This window comes from Homo sapiens, chromosome 6 (assembly GCF_000001405.40).
Source record: "Homo sapiens chromosome 6, GRCh38.p14 Primary Assembly".
Taxonomy (NCBI): Eukaryota; Metazoa; Chordata; class Mammalia; order Primates; family Hominidae; genus Homo; species Homo sapiens.
The window spans coordinates 167,004,891-167,026,921 of NC_000006.12; the positions used below are offsets into that span (position 1 = coordinate 167,004,891).

Genomic DNA, 22,031 nt, shown 5'->3' on the forward strand with positions numbered 1-22,031 from the left:
TGTTGATTTTGCTTTACGCTGTTTAGAAACAGTTCAAACTTACACTTTTTTGATCAGTAGTACTTTTCATACTCTTAACCTTTTTTTAGAAATTGTGCTAATGAGATTAATGATATAATTTTATTTTCATACATTAATTTTACATGAAGATACTCTGTTTTATAGATACAGGTAACATCTGTAACTGTTCCAGATATTTGATTAAATGTGAGCTTTTAGTCAGAAATTTATAGGTAAGAATGTGGAGGGCTGTATAGGTTTCCAGTTATTTTCTTTGGTGAGTCTCAGAGGATGTTTTCTATTAGAATTTTTGAAAATTGATAAAGCTTGCCTGAGTACTAATTATGTGTAAGGCATGGTAAATAGACTTTGTGGGTACTATAAGATAAAATATAAGAAACTTCTGTGTCTCTGAATAGCGCAGAGCTATTTAAGATAAAATGTGCTCAAATAAGGAAATTAACATTTAAATAACAGTTTAAGATTATGGAGGAATTGTCATTTAACACATTATTTCCAACCATATTATGAATAGTTTAGAGGAGGAAGCGATTGTCACATGCCAAAATTTTATTGAAGTCAATTTTAAAGTGAGAGTAGGATGTCAGTTGTGGGGCGAGGATTGGGAAGGGCTTTCCGAGAAGTTGGAACGGTGCCAGCCAAGCGTGGGAGCAGGAGAGCATAGCCAGATCCCAGGCTGGCTGGGAGTGAGGCGGCTCACCCAGAGCGCAGGTTGTCACTTCAGCTTGTGCATATAATTTCATTCCTTCATTTATCAATATCCAGCAAGCTTTTATTGTGCGCTTATTTGATAGATACTGTGCTGGGTACTGGGCAATCAAAAACAAACTAAAGAACCCAGTCTCCTGGGGCCAGCAGTCTGTAGGTCATGATGACCTCTCTTTATTGGCTTTCCCCTCTCGGCTTCTGTGGCCCTGAAGAACTCTCTTCTCTTTCTAACTGCCCTTTCATTTTCTTTTCTGTTTAGTAGTTGTGCTTTGGCTCACCTCATTGCAGTGGTGTTTATGCATATTTTTCTGTCTAGATTGATCTTTCTTCCTTAACATACCACTAGCATGGACTCTGGAACCAGGTTACTTGGGTGAAACCCCAGCTCTGCTACATTCTAGCTCTGTGAGCCTGCAGTCACTCAGCCTCCGTGTGCCCAGGTTCCTTATCTGCAACATGGAGATCACAGAAGTATCGCGCCTACAGGTCTGGAGGGGGTCTGAGGAAGCAAGATGTGTGAAGCTTTGAGCACAGTGCTTGGCACGGAGGACTCTGTGTGTTACTGTAGTAGGCATCAGTGGATTCAATTAACTGCGAATTGAAAATATTCGGATAGGCTGAGCGCGGTAGCTCATGCCTGTAATCCCAGCACTTTGGGAGGCCGAGGTGGGCGAATCATGAAGTCAAGAGATGGAGACCATCCTGGCCAACATGGTGAAACCCCATCTCTACTAAAAATAGAAAAATTAGCTGGGCGCGGTGGTGTGTGCCTGTAGTCCCAGCTACTTGGGAGGCTGAGGCAGAATCACTTGAACCCAGTAGGTGGCGGTGGCAGTGAGGCGAGGTCGTGCCACCGCACTCCAGCCTGGCGACAGAGCGAGACTCCATCTCAAAAAAAAGAAAAAAAGAAAATATTTGGATAAAATACAACAAAAGAATGCAAATATAGTAGAAAACTATTTATATAGCATTTACATTGTATTAGATATAAGTTAGACACGATTTGAAGTACATAAGTTATATGCAAATATGTCATTTCACATAAGAGACTTGAGCATCCTTGGATTTTGGTGTCCACAGGAGAGTCCTACAACCAGTCCCCTGTGGATACTGAGGGACGACTGTGTTAGTATTACTGTTTCTTGTTATTGTATGGATGACTCTTTAAGTTCAGTGTAGTCTGCCTAAGCTCAGCTCAGTCCTTTATCCTAGCTCCAGACTAGAATTTCCAGCTCTTCACAAAACATACCTCCCTGGATAACCCAATAGTATATTCGAATCCTGTGTGGAAAAACTTACTTTCTTCTCTTTACCTCTAAAAAGTAAAAACATAAAGACAAAAGCAAATCCCACCTTACTCCCCGCAAATAACCCTCTTCAAGTTCTTCTTGCTCACTTCTGTGTTTTGATTGATTCTATTCCTGTGACTCCTTGGTTTCATCCCAAGGAGCCACCTCTTCACATGTGCTCTGGATTCAGTTCTTCTGTCAGGAAGGATTCACTCTCCACCTTGCACCCCGTAGCTTTGGTAACAGGCTGTGGAAGAAAGAATAATTGCTGGAGGGCTTTCTGTTCTCTGCTAGATAGGAGTGTACCTCAAAATGAGACCCAGTAGCATGCCTGTGTAGTGGGTGTGATGTGAAAATGGACACAGAATCACTGTTCTTCAGTACTTCATTCTGACTCGTGGATTTGAGGCCTCCCCTGAAGTTTGCCCTGACTTTTTCATAGCTGTGATTCTGTCAAATAGAGCCAGGATAGGAATTCTGTATCCTCAAAAGGTAGTTGTTTTACTCCCCCAAGTTGCTGAACCAGTAAGTTGGGCATCTCATCTCCATTTTTTGCTAGTTTTCCCTTCCTAATATCTGGATATTTAATTTTAATAGTTTGTGCATATGTATATAAACAAATAGATAAAATATTTAAAATAGAGACCTCAAAGATGTATGTTTTGGCCCTTCATTATTTATTAGTGTTTTCTATTACTTTGGAAGAAAACCTGTTGTTTATAATGAAATAAAAAATTAGAGCTTTTATTAGCTTTTGACTTTGACTGTAGAAAACTAGCTATAGGTTAAGCTCACTGAACTAAATTACTGATGCTTTTTACCAAAACTGCATTTTAACCACCTCAAGAATCAGGTTGCTGTGCCCCACCCGCTTTAACCTGACTTTTGTTTGGTTTTATTGGATGCTCCCAAGCCGTAGATAATTAAAGCCCTTTCTTGTTTTCTGAGCCCCTCAATGGATCATTTTCATCTCCTTCAGCACCTCTACCATGTAGGTCCTTATATCTGTCCAGGATCATTTCTTCCTAAAGGTTCTCATGCTTTCAGTCTGTCATTCACTGTTGCAGAATTATTTTTAAACTTCAGCCCTTCCTCTGTTCCTTTCTTCTGTACGATTGTAGTGACTGCACTGCCGACTCAGGAGTCCCAGATTCTTCAGCCCTTATGAAATGTTCTGTGTGATGTGGCCTTAACCTGTCTTTCTAGCCTTATGTGTTTTTTTTTTTTTTAATGTGGAACCTTGTACTTAAGTCAGATTGAACTTTGGACTTACTACTTGAAAGTGGCTTGTGTTTTTTCGCCTTCTCTTATTTCGTTATTCTATCCTCCACTTGGAATTATACTCTTTCCCCTTCCCCAGCTGTGGAATTTTGTCAGTCAGGTTTTCTCCTCAGCTGCAACTCTTGTTCTTCCTCTCTCCTTACTGGAAACTGCATGTAACTTAGTGCCTCCTTCTGTCAAAGTTGTAGTAGTGATCTGCACTGGTTACACATGGAAATTTACTGAGGACAAGGGCTTTATCTTCATATCTCTTACACAGTCTAAGGCATTGTGATTTTTTTTTGTTTTTTTTTGAGACGGAGTCTTGCTCTGTTGCCCAGGCTGGAGTGCAGCGGCAAGATCTCAACTCACTGCTGCAAGCTCCACCTCCCAGGTTCACGACATTCTTCTGCCTCAGCCTCCCGAGTAGCTGGGACTACAGGCAGCCACCACCACACCCGGCTAATTTTTTTTATTTTTTTATTTTTAGTAGAGACGGGGTTTCACCGTGTTAGCCAGGATGGTCTCAATCTCTGACCTCGTGATCCACCCGCCTTGGCCTCCCAAATTGCTGGGATTACAGGTGTGAACCACCGTGCCCAGCTGGCATAGTGATTTTTAACATACTGTTCACAGTCAGTGGAAGCCTTTGAAAATTTGAAGAGGAATACCCATTTAGAAGATTTGTGGAGGTTAGATTGGTAAAATATGGAGAAGTTAGCAGACTAGAAAGAAGTGAAACACATAAGAAGGCAAATCTAGACAAGAATGGTAGCAGTAAGAATAGAAATAAGTGGACATACAGGCTAGACATGGTGGCTCACACCTGTAATTCCAGCACTTTGGGAGGCCGAGGCAGGCGGATCACTTGAGGCCAGGAGTTTGAGACCAGCCTGGCCAACCTAGTGAAACCCCGTCTCTATTAAAAATATAAAAATTAATGTTGGGCGCGGTGGCTCATGCCTGTAATCCCAGCGCTTTGGGAGGCCAAGGCGGGTGGATCACCTGAGGTCAGGAGTACGAGACCAGCCTGGCCAACATGGTGGAACTCCATCTCTACCAAAATACAAAAAATTGGCCAGGTGCGGTGGCTCAAACCTGTAATCCCACATTGGGAGGCTGAGGCGGGCGGATCATTTGAGACCAGCCTGGCCAACATAGTGAAACCCTCTGTCTACTAAAACCACAAAAATTAGCTGGGCATGGTGGTGTGCACCTGTAGTCCCAGCTACTCGGGAGGGCGAGGCAGGAGAATTGCTTGAACCCGGGAGGTGGAGGTTGTGGTGAGCCAAGATTGCGCCTCTGCACTCCACAGAGCGAGACTCTGTCTCAAAAAAAAAAAAAAAAAAAAAAAAAAAAAATACAAGGAATTAGCTGGGCGTGGTACTCGGGAGGTTGAGGCAAGAGAATCGCTTGAACCCGGCAGTCGGAGGTTGCAGTAAGCCAAGATCTCGCCATTGCACTCTAACCTGGACAACAAGAATGAAACTCCGTCTCAAAAAAAAAAAAAAAAAAAAGTTAGTTGGGTGCGGTGGTGCATTCCTATAATCCCAGCTACTTGAGAGGCTGAGGTGGGAGGATCACTTGAATCTGGGAGGCGGAGATTGCAGTGAGCCGAGATCGCACCACTGCACTCCAGCCTGGGTAACAGAGTGAGACCCTGTTTCAAAAAAAAGAAAAATAAAAGAAAGAAAGAAATGAATAGATAAAGATGACCTTTTGAGAATCAACAAGACTTGGTAAACTAATATTTTGGCATGGGGCAAGGTCACAGAAGGCAATAAGAGAAAAGAAAAGCTCTCAAAGGCCAGTTTAAGGATTTTAGCCTAGAAGATAATATCACCAACAGAAATAGTGGGACTGAAGAGGGAGAACTGAAGTTATGAAGAACAGCACATTTTCGTATTTAAAAAGTTACAGTCAGTCATAAAGGGATTTTTGTAACAAACAGCCAGTATTTACTATGTACAGTGTCCTAGAGCTTGTGCTGGTAGTGGATGAATTGTAGGAAGTGATTTTCATTTAAGAAACATTTTAAAAACCTCCTCCTTGGCATTAACCACAGTGCTCAGAACCCTGTGGTGACAGGGCACTGGGCAGCAGACACAGATGACTCCTGTGGAAGTTGGGCTAGAACAGGTACTTACCATTTTGGAAAAAAAATGTGTGAAAGTAGAAAACTGGGAGAGTGAACTACTATTTGAAGGGGTAAAGTATTTTTAATGAAAGTTGTTATTTGGTATTTTTTCTTGAGATAAAATGAAGTAGGGAAACAAATTCAAGGAGGGCAAAAAGTAGATCTTAGAGAATTACAGGATATTATTTGTCTGGAGAGTAGGGAGAAGGGAAGTGAGGAAGTAAATCCTGGAATGGTAGACCTGGGACAGATTTCAGTGGAGAAAGACAGTATCCTGTTCAAAGTGAATAAATGAAATATTTTGCAGGTAATTAGAATCTAGGGATGTGTAGAAGGTTTTTGAGGGGGTAAAATTAGAGGAAAATCTAAAAAGGATGGTTACTTTAATAAGAAATAAAATACCAACATTGTATAGTGTTTTTAAATGCTAAAATTCTATTGGAGTGTAATTGGTATATTTGTGTTTTATTTTTAAATGTATTTTAATTTTAAACTAAAATATTTTAGGGTGCACTTGATCTATCTGATGTACATTCTCCACCAAAGTCACCAGAGGGAAAAACAAGTGCACAGACAACACCAAGTAAGGTGAGTTAGCTGTGGAACACGGAAGTCATGTCTGGACTTAACTCCAGAGTGCTCTGCTTTTCTCTCTCTAGTCTTTCTTGTTACAAGTTGTATTGTTTTATATAAACACATGGGCTCTTTAGTTTCTTGAAGGTGCTTTTTTTCCATTAAGTATACATTAAAAAAAAAGTTTTGCTTTGTTGGTAGTTGTTTGACATTTGTATTGTAGAAAGGAATGTGCTGGTAAGTAACAGAATCATAGAATATTTGGATTTATTTGGTACTTCGGACATTTTCTCCTATTAACAAGGAGATTTACTTACTTTTCATTTATAAATTCCTAGCTTGAGAATATTAAGCTAGAAATATGTATTATAGGATATAATATTGAATGAATATTTTAGACTTCTAGATGGGTGATGAGATTCAGAATTGTAAATCATGATGGTTTTTAATATACCTGGGCTGTTTTGATACAATTTCTAAGAAAATGTATGTACTTTGGTTACATTTGTGTGTGTATGCATGTGTGCGTCTGTTTGTGTGTTTATGAGTTGTTAAAGGTAAGACTTGATTTCAGAGATTAAGCATAATGGGAAAAAAAATGAGCTCTACACTTTGAATTTAAGATCCAGGATATGTAGGAATGGATAGAAAGATGATTGTCAGGAAATTTGTTTTCTCAAGAGCACAGCATGAATTGGTAGTCCCAGGCGGTCTTACCAAAGGATAGGTTGGGGTCTGTCTTAGTCTGTTCAGGCTGCCAAGTACCATAGATTGGGCAGCTTACAAACAACACATTTTTCCTCACAGTTCTGGAGGCTGGAAGTCCAAGATCACGGCATCACTGTGGTTAGGTCTGGTGAGGTCCCTCTTCTAGGTTGCAGAGAGCTGCCTTCTCATTGTGTCCTCACGTGGTGGAAAGAGGGTGAGAGAGCTCTCTGGGGTCAGGGCCCTAATCCCATTCACAAAGCCTTCACCCGCATGATCTGCTCACCCCGCAAAGGCTCCACCTTCTGATACCATCACATTGAGGGTTAGGATTTCAACATAGGAGCTGGGGGTTTGTGGACTACACAAACCTGCAGTCCATGACAGGTCGGGTTTGTATTCTTTGACTGTCCCTTTGATTTTCATCCCATAGGAATAGAGTGATGCTGTGGAGTCCATTCCAAAAGATGAGGTCCCATGTGGGTTTATGGTGGTGGATCGACTCTCAGATACAGTTGCATCTTTTTAAATAGATGAACTTCCAGGACGTAGTGATTATACTACACGATACCTTTCTTTTTTAAATGTCTAGGCACAGAACATTGCTGAACGATTGCTGTTATTTTTTGCTTGTTCTTTGATGTTGTTGCTCCTTTTTATTGTTTAAGTTTGGAAAACTAAGGAATTTTATACTTCATTTCTAACCAAAGAAACAACTATTGTATTGTTTATAGTTGCTCCTTCTGAGATTTCTAGTTGGTGTAGGGAAGGCCTTTTTTTAAAATTTTTTTTTTCCTAAATACTCATAGGAGGCTATAACCCCAGTGATAGAGTAAGGTCATGAGTAAATTTTTAAAATTTCTTTAAATTAATTGCAAATAAAACAGCCTATGTAAGTAAGCTTTACTTTTCATGAAAATACCTGGCTTTAGAAAAATTAAAATTAATGAATATTCCAAAATACTTATCAGTACCTATAGCATTTGACTATTTGGAAGCTCTTTTTAGCAAATTATTACTGTTTTTAAAGCAAATTAGCAATCCTAACCTATATATAATGTATGTCTTCAGGGTAAAATATTAAAGTCTATTTTACGTACTCTTATTCTCCCTACATACATTTTAAGATCTAAGAATTATAATGAGAATCTCAATGTTTTAAGTCAGTCAGGAAATGATGCTGTGAGTTTTTCCAGAGAAGGGGGGACTGTCCTGAGGCTGCTTTAGAGAATAGCGTTTGTCCTAACAGCTGTCTCTGCCGTCATCCCGTTATTCTAGTTTAGTCTCCGTTTCTCAGTTGGCCTCATAAACCCACTTCAGAAATACCCTAGATAGTCCTTGTGTAGGGTTGCATCTGTTCTAAAATAAACCCTTATTTTGGCACTTAAAATGCAATTTCTCTAGTACTAAAGGACCTGGATTTGGGATCCAGTACTTTCCCTACCGTCTTCTTGCTAGCTACCTCCTACCAAATCAGCCTTGAGGGCCCACGGAGAATGCTAGAAACTCTCCAAGAGTAGGGTCCACCCAACCTTTAGGAACCAGCTTTGTGTGCTCCTGAGAAAGGTCAGATGAGGTCAGGACAAGTCTTCAAGGAAGTTGCCTAGGAACTCAAGTGAGGCTTATTTAGAATGCTGCTAAAATGTAGCATGAAAGAGCTGATTCTCCACCCAGTAGAAGCTGAGCAGGTGGAGGCTAAGGTATCTGTGTTTGACCTAGTAACTATTGGAAACAGTAAACATGAGGTAGATCACTCTAGGAATAGTTAAGAAAGGACCAAAAAAAGCAGGCCTCACAGAACATATTAACTAGATGTTCCACTTCTGAGACATTTTTCAGTAGGTATCTTTGTTTGGTAATGAGTTAGTTTATTTTTTAAAGATTTCTATTTTGTGGTAAAATCTCATTTTATTCTCATGCTCAGATACCAAGGTATAAAGGACAAGGTAAGAAGAAGACAAGCGGGCAGAAGGCTGGTGACAAGGTAACATGCATGAGGGCAGAGGAGAAAAGCAGCCTGTGGGCATCAGGTCTCGACTCTGGGGCCTCCTGGAGCGCTGGGCTCCTGTCAGATTGGGTTCTCAGTTTTCTTATGAAATGTCACTTGAGGCTGGGCTAGGTGGCTCACGCCTGTAATCCCAGCACTTTGGGAGTCCAAGGCGGGCGGATCACTTGAGGTCAGGAGTTCGAGACCATCCTGGCCAACATGGTGAAACCCCGCCTCTACTAAAATACAAAAATTAGCCGGCCGTGGTGGTGTGCGCCTGTAATCCCAGCTACTTGGGAGGCTGAGGCAGGAGAATCGCTTTAACCCGGGAAGCGGAGGTTGCAGTGAGCTGAAATCGTGCCATTGCACTCCAGCATGGGTGACAGAGTGAGACTCTGTCTAAAAAAACAAAAAAGTAACGATGGCATGAAATAAAAAGTAAATTTCACTGTCAGTTTTTATCCAGGTGAAAATCATACTGTTGAATCTTAAAACCATGCTCTCAGTTTTACTTTGAAAATTCCTGTTGTGTTGGCAATTAGAGTTGAAAATACGTATTTTTCTTTTGAATGGATGATTATATACATATTAGTAACATTGTGATTTTTATTTGAGGAAAATAGAACATCAAACTATTTTTTTGAATACGTACCTATTGATAAATTAAAAATTAAACGTATTTCCTCCAAGATGTTTTTGTGTTCTGTCATTTTTCAGACAATTGCACATTTGTGATCCTTTATTCAGTGCCCCTGCTCACAGTAGACTGCTGGGGGCCAGTGCTGCATACTACCAAGGCCTTGGCTGCTTTTTCATCCTCTCCTAAAGATCACAAAAATTGACTAATCCAGTAGATTAGCTGCTTATGAAATTTAAATATTAGAAGTTTTAGAAACATTATCAGTACAGTTTTTACATGTACTTAGGATAAGACAAAATATTTAATTTTCAGTTCTGTGAGATTCATTAGTCCTATGCTGAACTTTGGTTATGTATAGATTTTTTCACTAGGTTGAAAATCTTCAAACTTAAAGCTTTTTAAAAATTCCACCTGTTGTGTTAGATGGCTTTAGTTCTAGGAGTTTCAAAGGTAAATTCCTATTACTGTATTCTCTTTCTGTTCACACTGTTCTTTATGCGTTATTAAACAAGAAGTTGCTTTAAAATAATGATTTAGTAAGTTTTTTTTAACATTTACATAGTGAAAGTTATTGTGTGTTAATGCTTTGGGCAACACATTTAACACAGTTCTCACTTAAGGAGTTTATAGTTTAATTGGAGAGATGAGACATACCTTAAGTAAGATATAAAACTTCTTAATAGATTTTAAAAATCAGTTTCTTGGGCTTTTCTAAAATTTAAAAGCATATTTTATAGTATTAAGCTTTTATAATCTTACTGCTATTGTGGGTTTCAAACAACTTAAACATTTTCAAGAAGTTTATACATAGAGCCAAGGCATCCTAAGAGATGTGGTTTTCACTTTGTGTGATGTGAAATAACTGTGATGGGCCCAGACTTTAGCTTTCGCGGTACTTTGGGCAGAGTGTAGTGTGTGCCCTGACTTGAGAGGGGATTGAAGAATCTAGGTGGGCCCATATCCCAGGATTTAGTCCATAATTTGGGTCTCTTCTATTTCATTGTTGTGTTCCTGAGGCCAGGATGCTTCCTCAATTACTTGGAAACCTTTTTCCCTGTACATTTCTGATCTTGTTTCTGAACTGCCTTGTGAGAAGTCTGTATTGTACCCCATGTGGCCTATTGCCAGCCTTACTTATATGGGTAAGCCCTTAGCTCTTTGTTCCCCTGCCTTTCTGCTTTGCCTTGTGCATGCAGTGAGTTCCCAACAGCCTTAACATTCTCAACATCTTCATCATCCAGATGCTATGTTGCATGTGGTGGTTGAGGTTGTACACAGCAAGACTCCAGATGGAGCCATCCGCATGGTAGGTGAGTGGCATCTCCCAAGGTATGCAAAGCCATCATGGGAGCCCTGCCTGTCCTGCAGACGTGAACTGGGCATGCGATGCAGGAGGGCCTAGGGTACCGCTGCTCCCGGAGCTCTGGAGCACTGATCAGGAGTGTCGCATGTGTCCGGTTGCTTTCGAATGCAGGAGGCGACAAGTACTAGTGGCTCACTCAGAGACCCTTGGCACTTTCTTCAGGGAAGCTATATTCATATTATAAATAAACTTAAAAAAACATTCATATGTATAGTTAGAATTGATTTGTAGGGTTTTTGAACTGATGTAACTTGGGCAAAACTGAAGTTCTTATTTTTGTTGTTGCTAAGAGACAATAAAGATAAAAATAAAATAAAGATTAAAGATAAAAGATTTGGTATACAAGGAGTATAAATATGAAATGAGAGGGCATTTTAAAAATGAATTAATAATTTTGAAATATATATTAATACTTGCTGACTTCCAAAGTATCATCTGTGATAATTTATCTCATTGTATTCCATTTCGTTGTACCAAACATCCTAATTGTTTGGAAAAAAAAAAAAGTATCAGAAAATTATAACAGACTTTTGATAGGCCCTACTAGCTTAGGTTTTTACCATTTAGTTGGAAATGTTGAGTAAGATCTATATTTTTTTGTTTTTAATATTTAGAATTAGTTGCTCTTTATCATTATATTAAATGTAATATGAAAGATCATCCTTTCTTCTTACAAATAGTTTTCAGGTGTCTGTTTCTTTTTAGAGACAAGGTCTCACTCTGTCACCTAGGCTGGAGTGCAGTGGTGTGATCATGGCTCACACCACTTGTCCTCCTGGGGTCAAGTGCCCACTTCAGCCTCTTGGGTAGCTAGGACAACAGGTGCATGCCAGCACAGCTGGCTAATTTTTTAAAAAATGTTTTCATGTAGAGGCAGGGGTCTCACTATGGTTGTCCATTCTGATCCTCAACTGTGGGGCTCAAGTGATCCTCCTGCCTCGGCCTCCCAAAGTGCTGGGATTACAGGCATGAGCCACCGTGCCTGGCCCAGTTTTCAGGTATTTTAAAACTAACATGTATTGAGATGCTTTTTCACATTACGTGTAGGTTTTGGGGCATATGTTTTTGTATCTTTGGCAGTCACCTGAGGATTTTCCAAACCAGGCGTTACCATTCCCTGTCACACTCTCACACCATCCTGAATGAATGGATACATGGATGCATGAATGTTCCCACACTTAGCCCTGTAGTAAAATTACTTCTCTAAATAATTCATTAGTAAGTCATGGATCAGAAACTGTCGTTGGCAGGGAGAGAGGTGGGGGGCAGAGGCATGGGTGAAGAGAATTTTAAATACAGTCAGCCTCATATCTGGAGGTTTCATATGCATTGCTTTCACACCTGCAGATTCAGTCGTATGTAAATGGAAAAATGGTTATAAAAAATAATAATACAAATTTTATTTATTATTTATTTATTTTTTTTTTTTTTTATTTTTTTGAGATGGAGTCTCTCTCTGTCGCCCAGGCTGGAGTGCAGTGGCACGATCTCGGCTCACTGCAAGCTCCGCCTCCCGGGTTCACGGGAGGCTCCTGCCTCAGCCTCCTGAGTAGCTGGGATTACAGGCGCCCACCACCAAGCCCGGCTAATTTTTTGTATTTTTAGTAGAGACGGGGTTTCACTGTGTTAGCTAGGATGGTCTTGATCTCCTGACCTCGTGATCCACCTGCCTTGGGCTCCCAAAGTGCTGGGATTACAGGTGTGAGCCACCGCGCCTGGCCAATAATGATACAAATTTTAAAATAATGGTATACAACTGTCTACATAGCATTACATTTATTAGGTATTACAAGTAATCTAGAGATGATTCAAAGCATATGGGAGGATGTGTGTAGGCTATGTGCAAATACTACAGCATTTTATACGAGGGACTTGAGCATCCTCGGACTTTGGTGTCTGCAGGTGTCCTGGGTACTGAGGGACAACTGTATTGCATGAATTTTTTGAATACTTTTGCAAAACAATAGTATTTCTTTGATATTTTTCCTACATGAACAGTTTGGAAAAAAATTCTTTTTTTTTTTTTTCAGGTTCTTAAGTCAGTCTGATACAATTCAGTTTTTGACTACTGAAAAATTAAGGTTTCTCATTGTGAAACTTCTCTAGTGCTGACTTTTTGTTAATCTAGAAATGATTGGCTTCTTTATTATATGAGTGTACTATTGGATAATTTAAATATATACTAAAGCTTTCTTATGGCTGCACTATAATTTCCCATAGAGCTTATTATTAGTCTTGAGCTCCAGCCAAGAGAACTTAATGACCGTTGTAGTGCTGTGCAATAGGTCCCTCACTTTTATGAAAAGACAAAACTTGTTTTAGTTTTTTGTTATAAATGACTTGATTTGTTTCCTAGGGCTAATGTAATATAAGTACCAATATTGGGTGGCTTAAAACAACACATGTGTTGTGTCACAGTTCTAGAGGCTTAAAAATGTGAAATCAAGGTTCGCGGAGGGCTGTGGCTCCTGTTCTAGCTTCTGGTGGCTGCTAGACCCAGATGCTGTTTGGCTTGTAGATGGATTACTCCAGTCTTTGCCTCCATCTTCACATGGACTTCTCCCTGTGTTTCTCTGTGTCTCTTCCCCCCAGCAAGGATACCACTCATTAGGTTAGGACCCAGGCCCACCCTACTCTTTGAATGGACTCATCTTAACTAAATACATCTGCAGTGGACACTGTTTCCAAATAAGGTCACACTCTGAAGTACTGGGAGTTAGGGGTTTCAACATATTTCATTTGTGGGATACAGTTTGACCCATAACTTTTGTGCTTGTCCAGAGAATGAATTCTAAGGCATTGCCATGGTATGTGTGTGTGTGTGTATTTTTTTTTGAGACGGATTCTCGCTCTGTCACCAGGCTGGAGTGCAGTGGCGGCGATTACAGCTCACTGCAACCTCCAACTTCCTGGTTCAAGCGATTCTCCTGCCCCAGCCTCCTGAGTAGCTGGGATTACAGGCACGTGCCACCACACCCAGCTAATTTTTGTATTTTTAGTAGAGACGGGGTTCCACTATGTTGGCCAGGATGGTTTCGGATCTCCTGACCTCATGATCCGCCTGCCTCGGCCTCCCAAAGTGCTGGGATTACAGGTGTGAGCCACTGTGCCTGGCCTTATATTTTTTAAATCTTATTTGTTAGTTTTTAAACAATACTTAACCTTAGTTATTTAGCTTCATTTTGAATCTTCAACTTAGCCAAATCCAGGTGATACAAAACCCAAGTAACTGAAGTTTATGTACGTAACATAAGTTCGTCTTAACTCATGATAAGGGTTTTTAAAGCAGATTCCCGGGTATACATACGTATACAGATGGTCCCCAATGTTACAACAGTTTGATTTATGCTTTTTTGACTTTATGATGGTACAAAAGTGATATAGATTAAGTAGATAGCATACGTTGAGTTTTGATCTTTTCCCAGGACAGTAATCGGTGGTACGATTCTCTCTCGGGGCCAGGCAGTGACGTTGAGCCACGGCTTCCAGTCAGCCACATGGTCACGAGGCACTCTGATGCCAGGGGACTGAATAGCCAGCATTTTTTGGATATTGTGTTTTTGCACCTCATGTTTATGAAGTGCCCGTTTTCCACTTTGTGATATTTTCACTTGACGGTTGATGAGGTGAAGCGCTGTTGTGGGTTGAGCATCTGTGCACATGCATACACCTGCTGTGCACACGCATACACCTGCTGTGCACACACATACACCTGCTGTGCACACGCGTACACCTGCTGTGCACACGGGTACACCTGCTGTGTACATGGAGGAGCCACTGAAACTGCTCTCAGCGTTTTCAGTGCTTTGGTTTTAATCTGCAAAATGTGTTGATGACAAATCTTTCTCCTCTTCCTGTAGATTTTTTTAATAGTGAAGTTTATTTGGAATTAAGTTTAGTGAATTCATTAATAACCTAGTTGGTAATGGTCTTTTGGCAAAAATGAGCCATAGTTATAAAGTAGTAACATGTTACTGTGTGGTTTAGAACTAGATTTTGAGAGCAGTTCCAAAGCAGATTGTTTCAGAATTTATTTTTACTCCCTGGATTAAGAGAACTATATTTTTAAAATAATTCTGTTATGTTTACAAGTATGTGTTGTGTAATATAGTAATGCCCTTCTCCGTAAAACTTGTCTTCCTAAAACTGGTCTTTCTGTCTATAGCGGGAATATTGGTCAAACCTGTCAAATAATCATGGATACCTACTAGTTGCTCAGCTTTGATACTAGATAGTTCATTATGTGGATTTAAGTTACATTGGCAGTGTGAATTCTTGGGGAAATCAGAATAATTATTGTTTCTCATAATATTGCTTTACATTTACATTTTTCAGTTTCTGTCATGCCAGTTATTCTTTGGCACTTTCTCATGAGTGTTTAGAAGGAGAGAATCTGTCGTGGCCACAGGCTGTGTCATTGTACATATGTTTAAATATCACATCAGGGTATTTATTTCCAAATGCATATTCTTTTAAAAAGACATAAATCCATTATTAAAACAGTGTAAAAATCAGAAATTACAACTGCTGTGAATTACATAATATTTTTCTATATTTGATAATACCAGGAAAATGTCAAGAAAGTTGTTAGGAAATTTTTGAAAGTTTCCATCCCTTTGAAAATATGTTGTCTAAAATTATAACTTGCTATTTATTTTTTCAGACATCTCTTTATAATCATTAATTTATATTAATAACATGGAATGTGTAGCTCTCTAGAAGGCAATAAAATTTGCACAGCATATATCTTGCCTACTGTCAACTAGTCAAGACCTCTACCTGGTGTAAAGATGTAAACGTATATCATAAGACATGCATAATGCATTCTGTCTGTACCCATATGAAAAGTGAAACCATCCTTCAGGAGCGTCTTGTTCGGTAATGTCTAACCCAGACTTTGGTCACCATGCTTCAGTAGTTACTACTCTTTAATTCTTTCTCAGCCATCCATCCCTTCCTAGATATAATTTGATCTGAAAAATATGAATCTAGTTCAATTCTTGAGGAAACTCATGCCTAGGAAATTAATTTACTTAAGATTACACGGGCCATGTATGGTGGCTCACGGCTCACGCCTGTAATCCCAGCACTTTGGGAGGCCGAGGCGGGTGGATCACTTGAGGTCAGAAGTTCGAGACCAGCGTGGCCAACATGTTGAAACCCTGTTTCTACTAAAAATACAAAAATTAGCCAAGCGTGGTGGCACGCGCCTGAAATCCCAGCTACTCAGGAGGCTGAGGCAGGAGAATCGCTTGAATCTGGGAGGCGGAGGTTGCAGTTAGCCCAGATTGCCCCACTGCACTCCAGCCTGAGTGACAGAGCGAGACTCTGTCTCAAAAAAAAAAAAAAAAAAAAAAAAGATTATACGACTGGGTGTAGTTTGTGCTTGTAATCCCATAAACCCAGCTACTTGGGAGACTGAGGCAAGGAGGACTGCTTGAGCCCAGGAGTTTTAAGACCAGCCTGGATGACATAGTGAGAGCCTGTTTCTTAAAAAAGAAAAAAAAAAAAAAGAAAAAAAAATGGAGTTAATAATTTTGGACTACATTCCAGATTCCTTGTTTCAGTTGAGTGCTTTTTCTATTATTCCACGGGTATTTTACACAATACTGCTCTCTTTAGTATGCAAGGCTGAATTTTGGGAAATTGCCATTTTTAACCCATAAAGCCCACAAATTCATTATAATTTAGCTTAATAGCATAAATATTGAGTTAACCTCTGGAAGCAGGCTTTGACTTTGATATTGACCTGACCACTTAACTCTCTGGAGACTTTGACAAGTGACATCAATGTCTGTCTCTGTGTTTCCTGATTTATATCCACAGATAGAAAGCCATCTCCAGATCCTAGGGCCATTTTCAAGATTCAGTGAGATAAGGTGAAGCATTTGAATGTTCTCCATAAATGTCAGCTGCTTTTATTATTACTAGCATTATTTTTTGTTTTCATTATTATTATTAACATAGACCCGTCTAAGGGCAGAAAGAAATCTGACCAAGAATGGAGTGAAAGTCGGCTGTGAAGGTTAGGACTCCCTGAAAACAAAAAAGAAAAGTGGTAACATCACTCTGTATCCAAGGGCATGGATAAGGATGATTCAGAATTTTTTTATAACATTGATGTTAATATACATAGAGAAATACACACACACACACACGTATATATGTCCATGGACATCAAAATGAGGTATAGGTTAGGAAGTTACCCTGGAAGTTAGAATTGAGATAATTACTTTGATTAGCAAAGGTTTATGTTAGAAATATGAGTGGTTGAAGGCAGCGCCTTTCACCTTGATGCCTGTTGTGTTTAGCACTGGATAGAAAATTGCTATTTTTACTGATGACTACTTTAATGCTTGGTTCATTCATATGAAATAATCTTTCTTTTCTCCTTTAATAATAATGATCTCTCCTGATTTCAAGTTGAAAATGTATTAATTTAAGATAACTTATGAAGCAATGACATATGGAAGAGGAGATGGGAAATTGTTTCTCAATGGGAAAGTGTTTATAAATGGGATAGGTATACTAAAGGTATTTCCATTTAGGGAAAGAGGAAAGGAATGGTATTAATATATTTCTCTAATATTTTTCCCCCTTTGAAAGTTTGCCATGTTAGGAATCCTGGGGATGGAGTGATGAATTGTGGCATTGCTCTGCAGTTCACGCTGCTGAGAGCTGCCCCAACACACACACACACACACACACACACACACACACACAAAGGTTGCACACACACAGGTTTGATTATGCTCATGAGACTTCTTTTATTATTGAAAATATCTTAAAGTTTTATCTCACCAAGGAGGCCTTTTCTCTTTCCCTCTCTTTCTAGAAGGCCAATGATGAGGCCAATCAGAGTGATACAAGTGTCTCCTTGTCAGAACCCAAGAGCAAAAGCAGCCTTCACTTACTGTCCCATGAAACAAAAATTGGATCTTTTCTAAGCAACAGAACTTTAGATGGCAAAGACAAAGCTGGCCTTTGTCCAGATGAAGATGATATGGAAGGAGATTCTTTCTTTGATGATCCCATTCCTAAGCCAGAGAAAACTTACGGTTTGTGAGTAAATGGTTTTTGAGCTATGAGACTAGGGGTTTAAAAATAAGATAAATGTTTTCATTTTATAGTTAAAAAATAATGAACTATGGAAGGTTTATAATTATTGGATCCATAAATCTGACTATGCGTTGTTAATGCCTTTCATGTTGTAAAACAATCCCAGATTTTAGAAAAACCTAGACATGATTTATTCCAACAAGTAAGTGTAGATTGAGTGTCAGCCACTTGCCAGGGCTGTTCCAGGGTGGGGTGCAGCAATGATAGAAGAGGGAAGACTCCTGCCCTCAGGAAGCTCATGCTCTGGTGACAGAGTCAGGCAATGAGGGTTATGCTGCAGTGTGTGGGGTGATGAGAGCAGAGCAGTGATGGGAGCCCGAGTGTGTGGTCAGGGCAGGTGCATGTCAGCTGTCCAAATTGGAGGGGGCCTCACTTGGAGGTGCCCAGTGAGCAAAGAGCTAGAGGAGGTAAGGGAGTTGCCGTGGGTTGATGGAGCTTTGGGGAGAGGAAACAGACAGCAGGGAGGCGAGTTGGGGGTAGCAGAGAGAGCAAGATGGGGATCGGATGAGGTGGACTCAGAGATGAGGAGCTGGACGGCTTTTCTTTGAGACTGGAAGCCCTGAGGATCTTGATCTGGCGTACATTACAGAAGGATCCTGAGGTTGCTGGGGAAGGTTGGTCTTAGAGTTTCCAGTTAGGAGGCCGTTAATGATGGAAAAGGATTTGCCAGTAAGTGCTAGAGAAAAGTAATATACAGAGTGGCATCATGGTTTTTAGCCTGCAAAACTAGAAGGTTGGAAACACGTTAGATGAAGAGTGGCAAGAGCAAGAGTGGATTACACAGACAGGTGGCATGACAGCCTGGAGGCCCCTGTTGCTGTGCTAAGTTAGAGAAGATTGCTAGTGGAAATCCAAAGTAGGCTATTGAGTGTATGCGTTGGGATTGATGGAGAGGTCTGAGCTGGAGATGTAAATTAGGAGTCATCAGTTTGTAGATAATGTGGGGTGTGGGAGACTACAGAGGATCACCAAGGAAGCAGGTCCTGCGCACCTTGAGGCCAGAGCAGGGAGCTAGAAGCAGCAGAGGAGATGGAACCAGGAGAGTGGTGTCTGTGGAGGTGGCGGTAGGGAGGAGTAGCTGTATGATGCCGTTGGATTTAGCCATCTGGAGGTCAGTGATGACCTTGACACAGTTTTGTTGGAATGGGGGTGCGAGGCAGGTTAGAGAATTAGAGTGCATTCAAGACAGACAGGAAAGGATTGTAGATGAAAAATAGTTTTCTGATGAGTTGTAAAAGTGTGCAGAGGAGCAGGGTGGTGGCTGGAGGGGCAGGATTTAGGGCTGAAAAACGTGTTTAGGTGGGAGAAATAACAGCATGTATGCTGACGAGAGCTGTTCAGCTTTAAAGATGGAAGAATTAATGATGTAAGGGAGTGAGAGGAGAACTGGAGGGCTGCGCAGCAGTGGAATCCCATGCAGGGGCTTGTGTTTGCTGGAAAAGTGGAGAGCGTGTGGGTCTCATTGTAGGCAGGGGGTGGATATGATGGTGGCACCTGTGCAAGCTGTCACCTGAGTTCATAGTTGAGTGAGGATGGAGGACGGAGGTTGGAGATAAGAGGAGAGTGGAGAAAGCATGAAATCTTTCTATAAGAAAGTAAGGCGAGAAGGCACTGTGGAAACCCGGAGGGTTGTTGGGCAGTTTTAAAGGTCCCCTTGAGGTTAGTGGTCATGACTTTAAGGGGAGTTCATCAGCATGGCTGTTAGTGGCTTCTGTAAGCAATATTAAATCTGAGAGGTGGCACTTATTTGCTAGTAAACTCCTGTATTGTCCCTTGGCTGCATGTCTGGGTAATGGAAAAGGGCTTCCGAAAAAAATCACAGTGAAGAGGTCAATTTAGTTTATATCAAACAGAATTCTAAAGAGAGGTGAGCTGATTTCTTACGCCCTGGCTGTGCCGATTGTGGTTGATCTGTAGTTTGCACTCCCTTGGTGTACTTTATGGTTTTGAATCTTTAAAGTGTATATTCTTGATTTCCAGCCACCACACGTATAAAATATCTTTAAGTTGCTTTTGTTTCTGTGGCAGAATAAAAGTGTTTAGTGGCAGAACATAAGAGCACCGATTAACTGTCCTTGTTTCTTGTTAGGAGGAAGGAACCTAGGAAGCAAGCAGGAAGTCTGGCCTCGCTCTCGGATGCACCCCCCTTAAAAAGTGGACTCAGCTCCCTGGCGGGAGCCCCTTCTTTAAAAGACTCTGAGAGTAAGTGCCCAAAGATGTGGACTTCAATACTCGGGATATTTTTTCTCTAATTAAATACTATGTGATTATTGTTGATTTTTTTTCCCAGGAAAATCACTAAAATAACCTATCATTTTATCACTCAGAGATATTTCCTGTTAATATTTTGTTGTGTTTTGTTACTTCTAAGGTGGTCCTATTTTATATGTTGTTTTGTATTCTGGCCCTTCCTATACCTATATACCATCGGAATACTTTTGGGAAGTTGACTTTTTAGCTGATTTTTATTATCTATAGAAATAAAATTTTTAAATCATCTCTCCTTTTTTGGACATTTACAATGACTTGAGTTGGATTTGCTTTCAATTAATTTTTAAAAATTTGGTGATACCACAGTAAGTATCATAAAATGTTAAATAAAAAATTATTCTGCAGATCATTTTCAAGAACAGTGACCTGACATGTCATCGTAAATGCAGCAGAGCTAAAGAGCACTGGTTACACATGGAATAGTCTAGCTCTGGCACCAGTTACTTTCCCACCTCTCCCCACACACAGTGATAGGAATTTAAAAAGCATAGCCCTGAACATGTAGGATGGGCAGAGGTCCTTTGGAAACCGTATCATAGTAAATGTTGTATTTAATTAGCGTAGTGTTTCAGAGCACGTGTACCTCTTTTGAGAAAGTTTCCTAAAGTAGATTCACTAAGAATTTGCAGTATGCGTTTTGCATAATTGTCCAGTATTTCCGAATCTTTTTGTATTGCTTGATATACTGTGGGACTTCCTAGGGCACATAAGAGAGCCGGCCTGTTGCTTCTCTTAAACCAGCCATGTATTTATAATGTCCGCATCCCTTCCCATTTGCTTCTTTCCCGTGGTTACTGCCACCTTTAAGAAAGGAATCCAGGACATCATGAACATGTCATTCTGACATTGATTAGAGAATGATCATTTAGAGAGGACGTTGAGAACAAAGGACTAAAAAACCAGTGAGGATGTCACTTTAGTAAGTGAAATAGCAGTTGCACTGAAGAAAAATTTAGAAATTCAAAGGAAAAATAAGACTCATGAAAATAATTAACAGTCTATGAATTCATACCTAACAGGGCTGTTTATGGAAAGTGATGTCTTATAATGAGGCAAAAAATGGTTTTTGGTGGTTGTGTTCCAATAAAGTAGTATTGTTTATGGTTTAAAAAGGGATGTAGCTGGGTGCAGTGGCTCACGCCTGTAATACCAGCACTTTGGGAGGCCGAGGTGGGTGGATCACGAGGTCAGGAGTTCGAGACCAGCCTATCCAACATAGGGAAACCCTGTCTCTACTAAAAATACAAAAATTAGCTGGGTGTGGTAGCACATGCCTGTAGTCCCAGCTACTCGGGAGGCTGAGGCGGGAGAATCGCTTGAACCCAGAAGGCAGAGGTTGCAGTGAGCTGAGACCGCGCCATTGCACTCCAGCCTGAGTGACAGTGATGAGACTCCGTCTCAAAAAAAGGGTTGTGATGCATAGCTTAAGCGTTCATTAATCACAGTTTATTTTTTCCTTAGTTTTAGGTTATTATGCTCCTGTCATAAAGAAGCCCCATATTGAACAACGACAAAAATTGATGTGGTTTAGAGACTGTTATATTCTAAGTCACTCTAATGTTAATATTTTCTCCTGTTCACAGGTAAAAGGGGAAATACAGTTTTGAAAGATCTGAAATTGATCAGTGATAAAATTGGATCACTTGGATTAGGTAATTAGATTTCTAGTTTTTGTGCTGATCGTTTTAAAGTGATTATTTTTAGGGTAAGGCTGTAAAAGAAGTGACTCCGTCTGCCTACGCTGAGCACCTTCCTGCTGCTGCTCATTCAGCAGGTGTTTGAATGGCTTTTATGTGTTCAGGATTACACGCTATGCGAGAGATGGCTACAGCAACAGCCATCATGTTCTCGTGAACCTCTGTCTTCATGGAGTTTAAATTCTGGTCAGGAATATGAACATTAAACGGGCATCTACAGATATTTTGACTGTAAAAGGGTCAGTATATATGGGTATAGAA

The 22,031-nt window shown here is 40.3% G+C and overlaps 1 protein-coding gene across 3 annotated transcripts in view; it reads left to right on the plus strand.

Annotated features, from left to right (window-relative positions):
* The window catches only part of CEP43 (centrosomal protein 43), a 53,322-nt gene that overhangs the window by 5,494 nt on the left and 25,797 nt on the right, over nucleotides 1-22,031 (plus strand). The window contains exons 6-10 of one of the 3 annotated variants that reach the window (NM_007045.4): nucleotides 5,923-6,003; nucleotides 8,618-8,677; nucleotides 17,519-17,745; nucleotides 19,892-20,004; nucleotides 21,657-21,725. In NM_007045.4, the coding sequence (NP_008976.1) occupies nucleotides 5,923-6,003; nucleotides 8,618-8,677; nucleotides 17,519-17,745; nucleotides 19,892-20,004; nucleotides 21,657-21,725 (550 nt within the window). The remainder of the gene's footprint in view (nucleotides 1-5,922; nucleotides 6,004-8,617; nucleotides 8,678-17,518; nucleotides 17,746-19,891; nucleotides 20,005-21,656; nucleotides 21,726-22,031) is intronic. The other 2 variants (NM_194429.3, NM_001278690.2) reach the window with 2 other exon arrangements.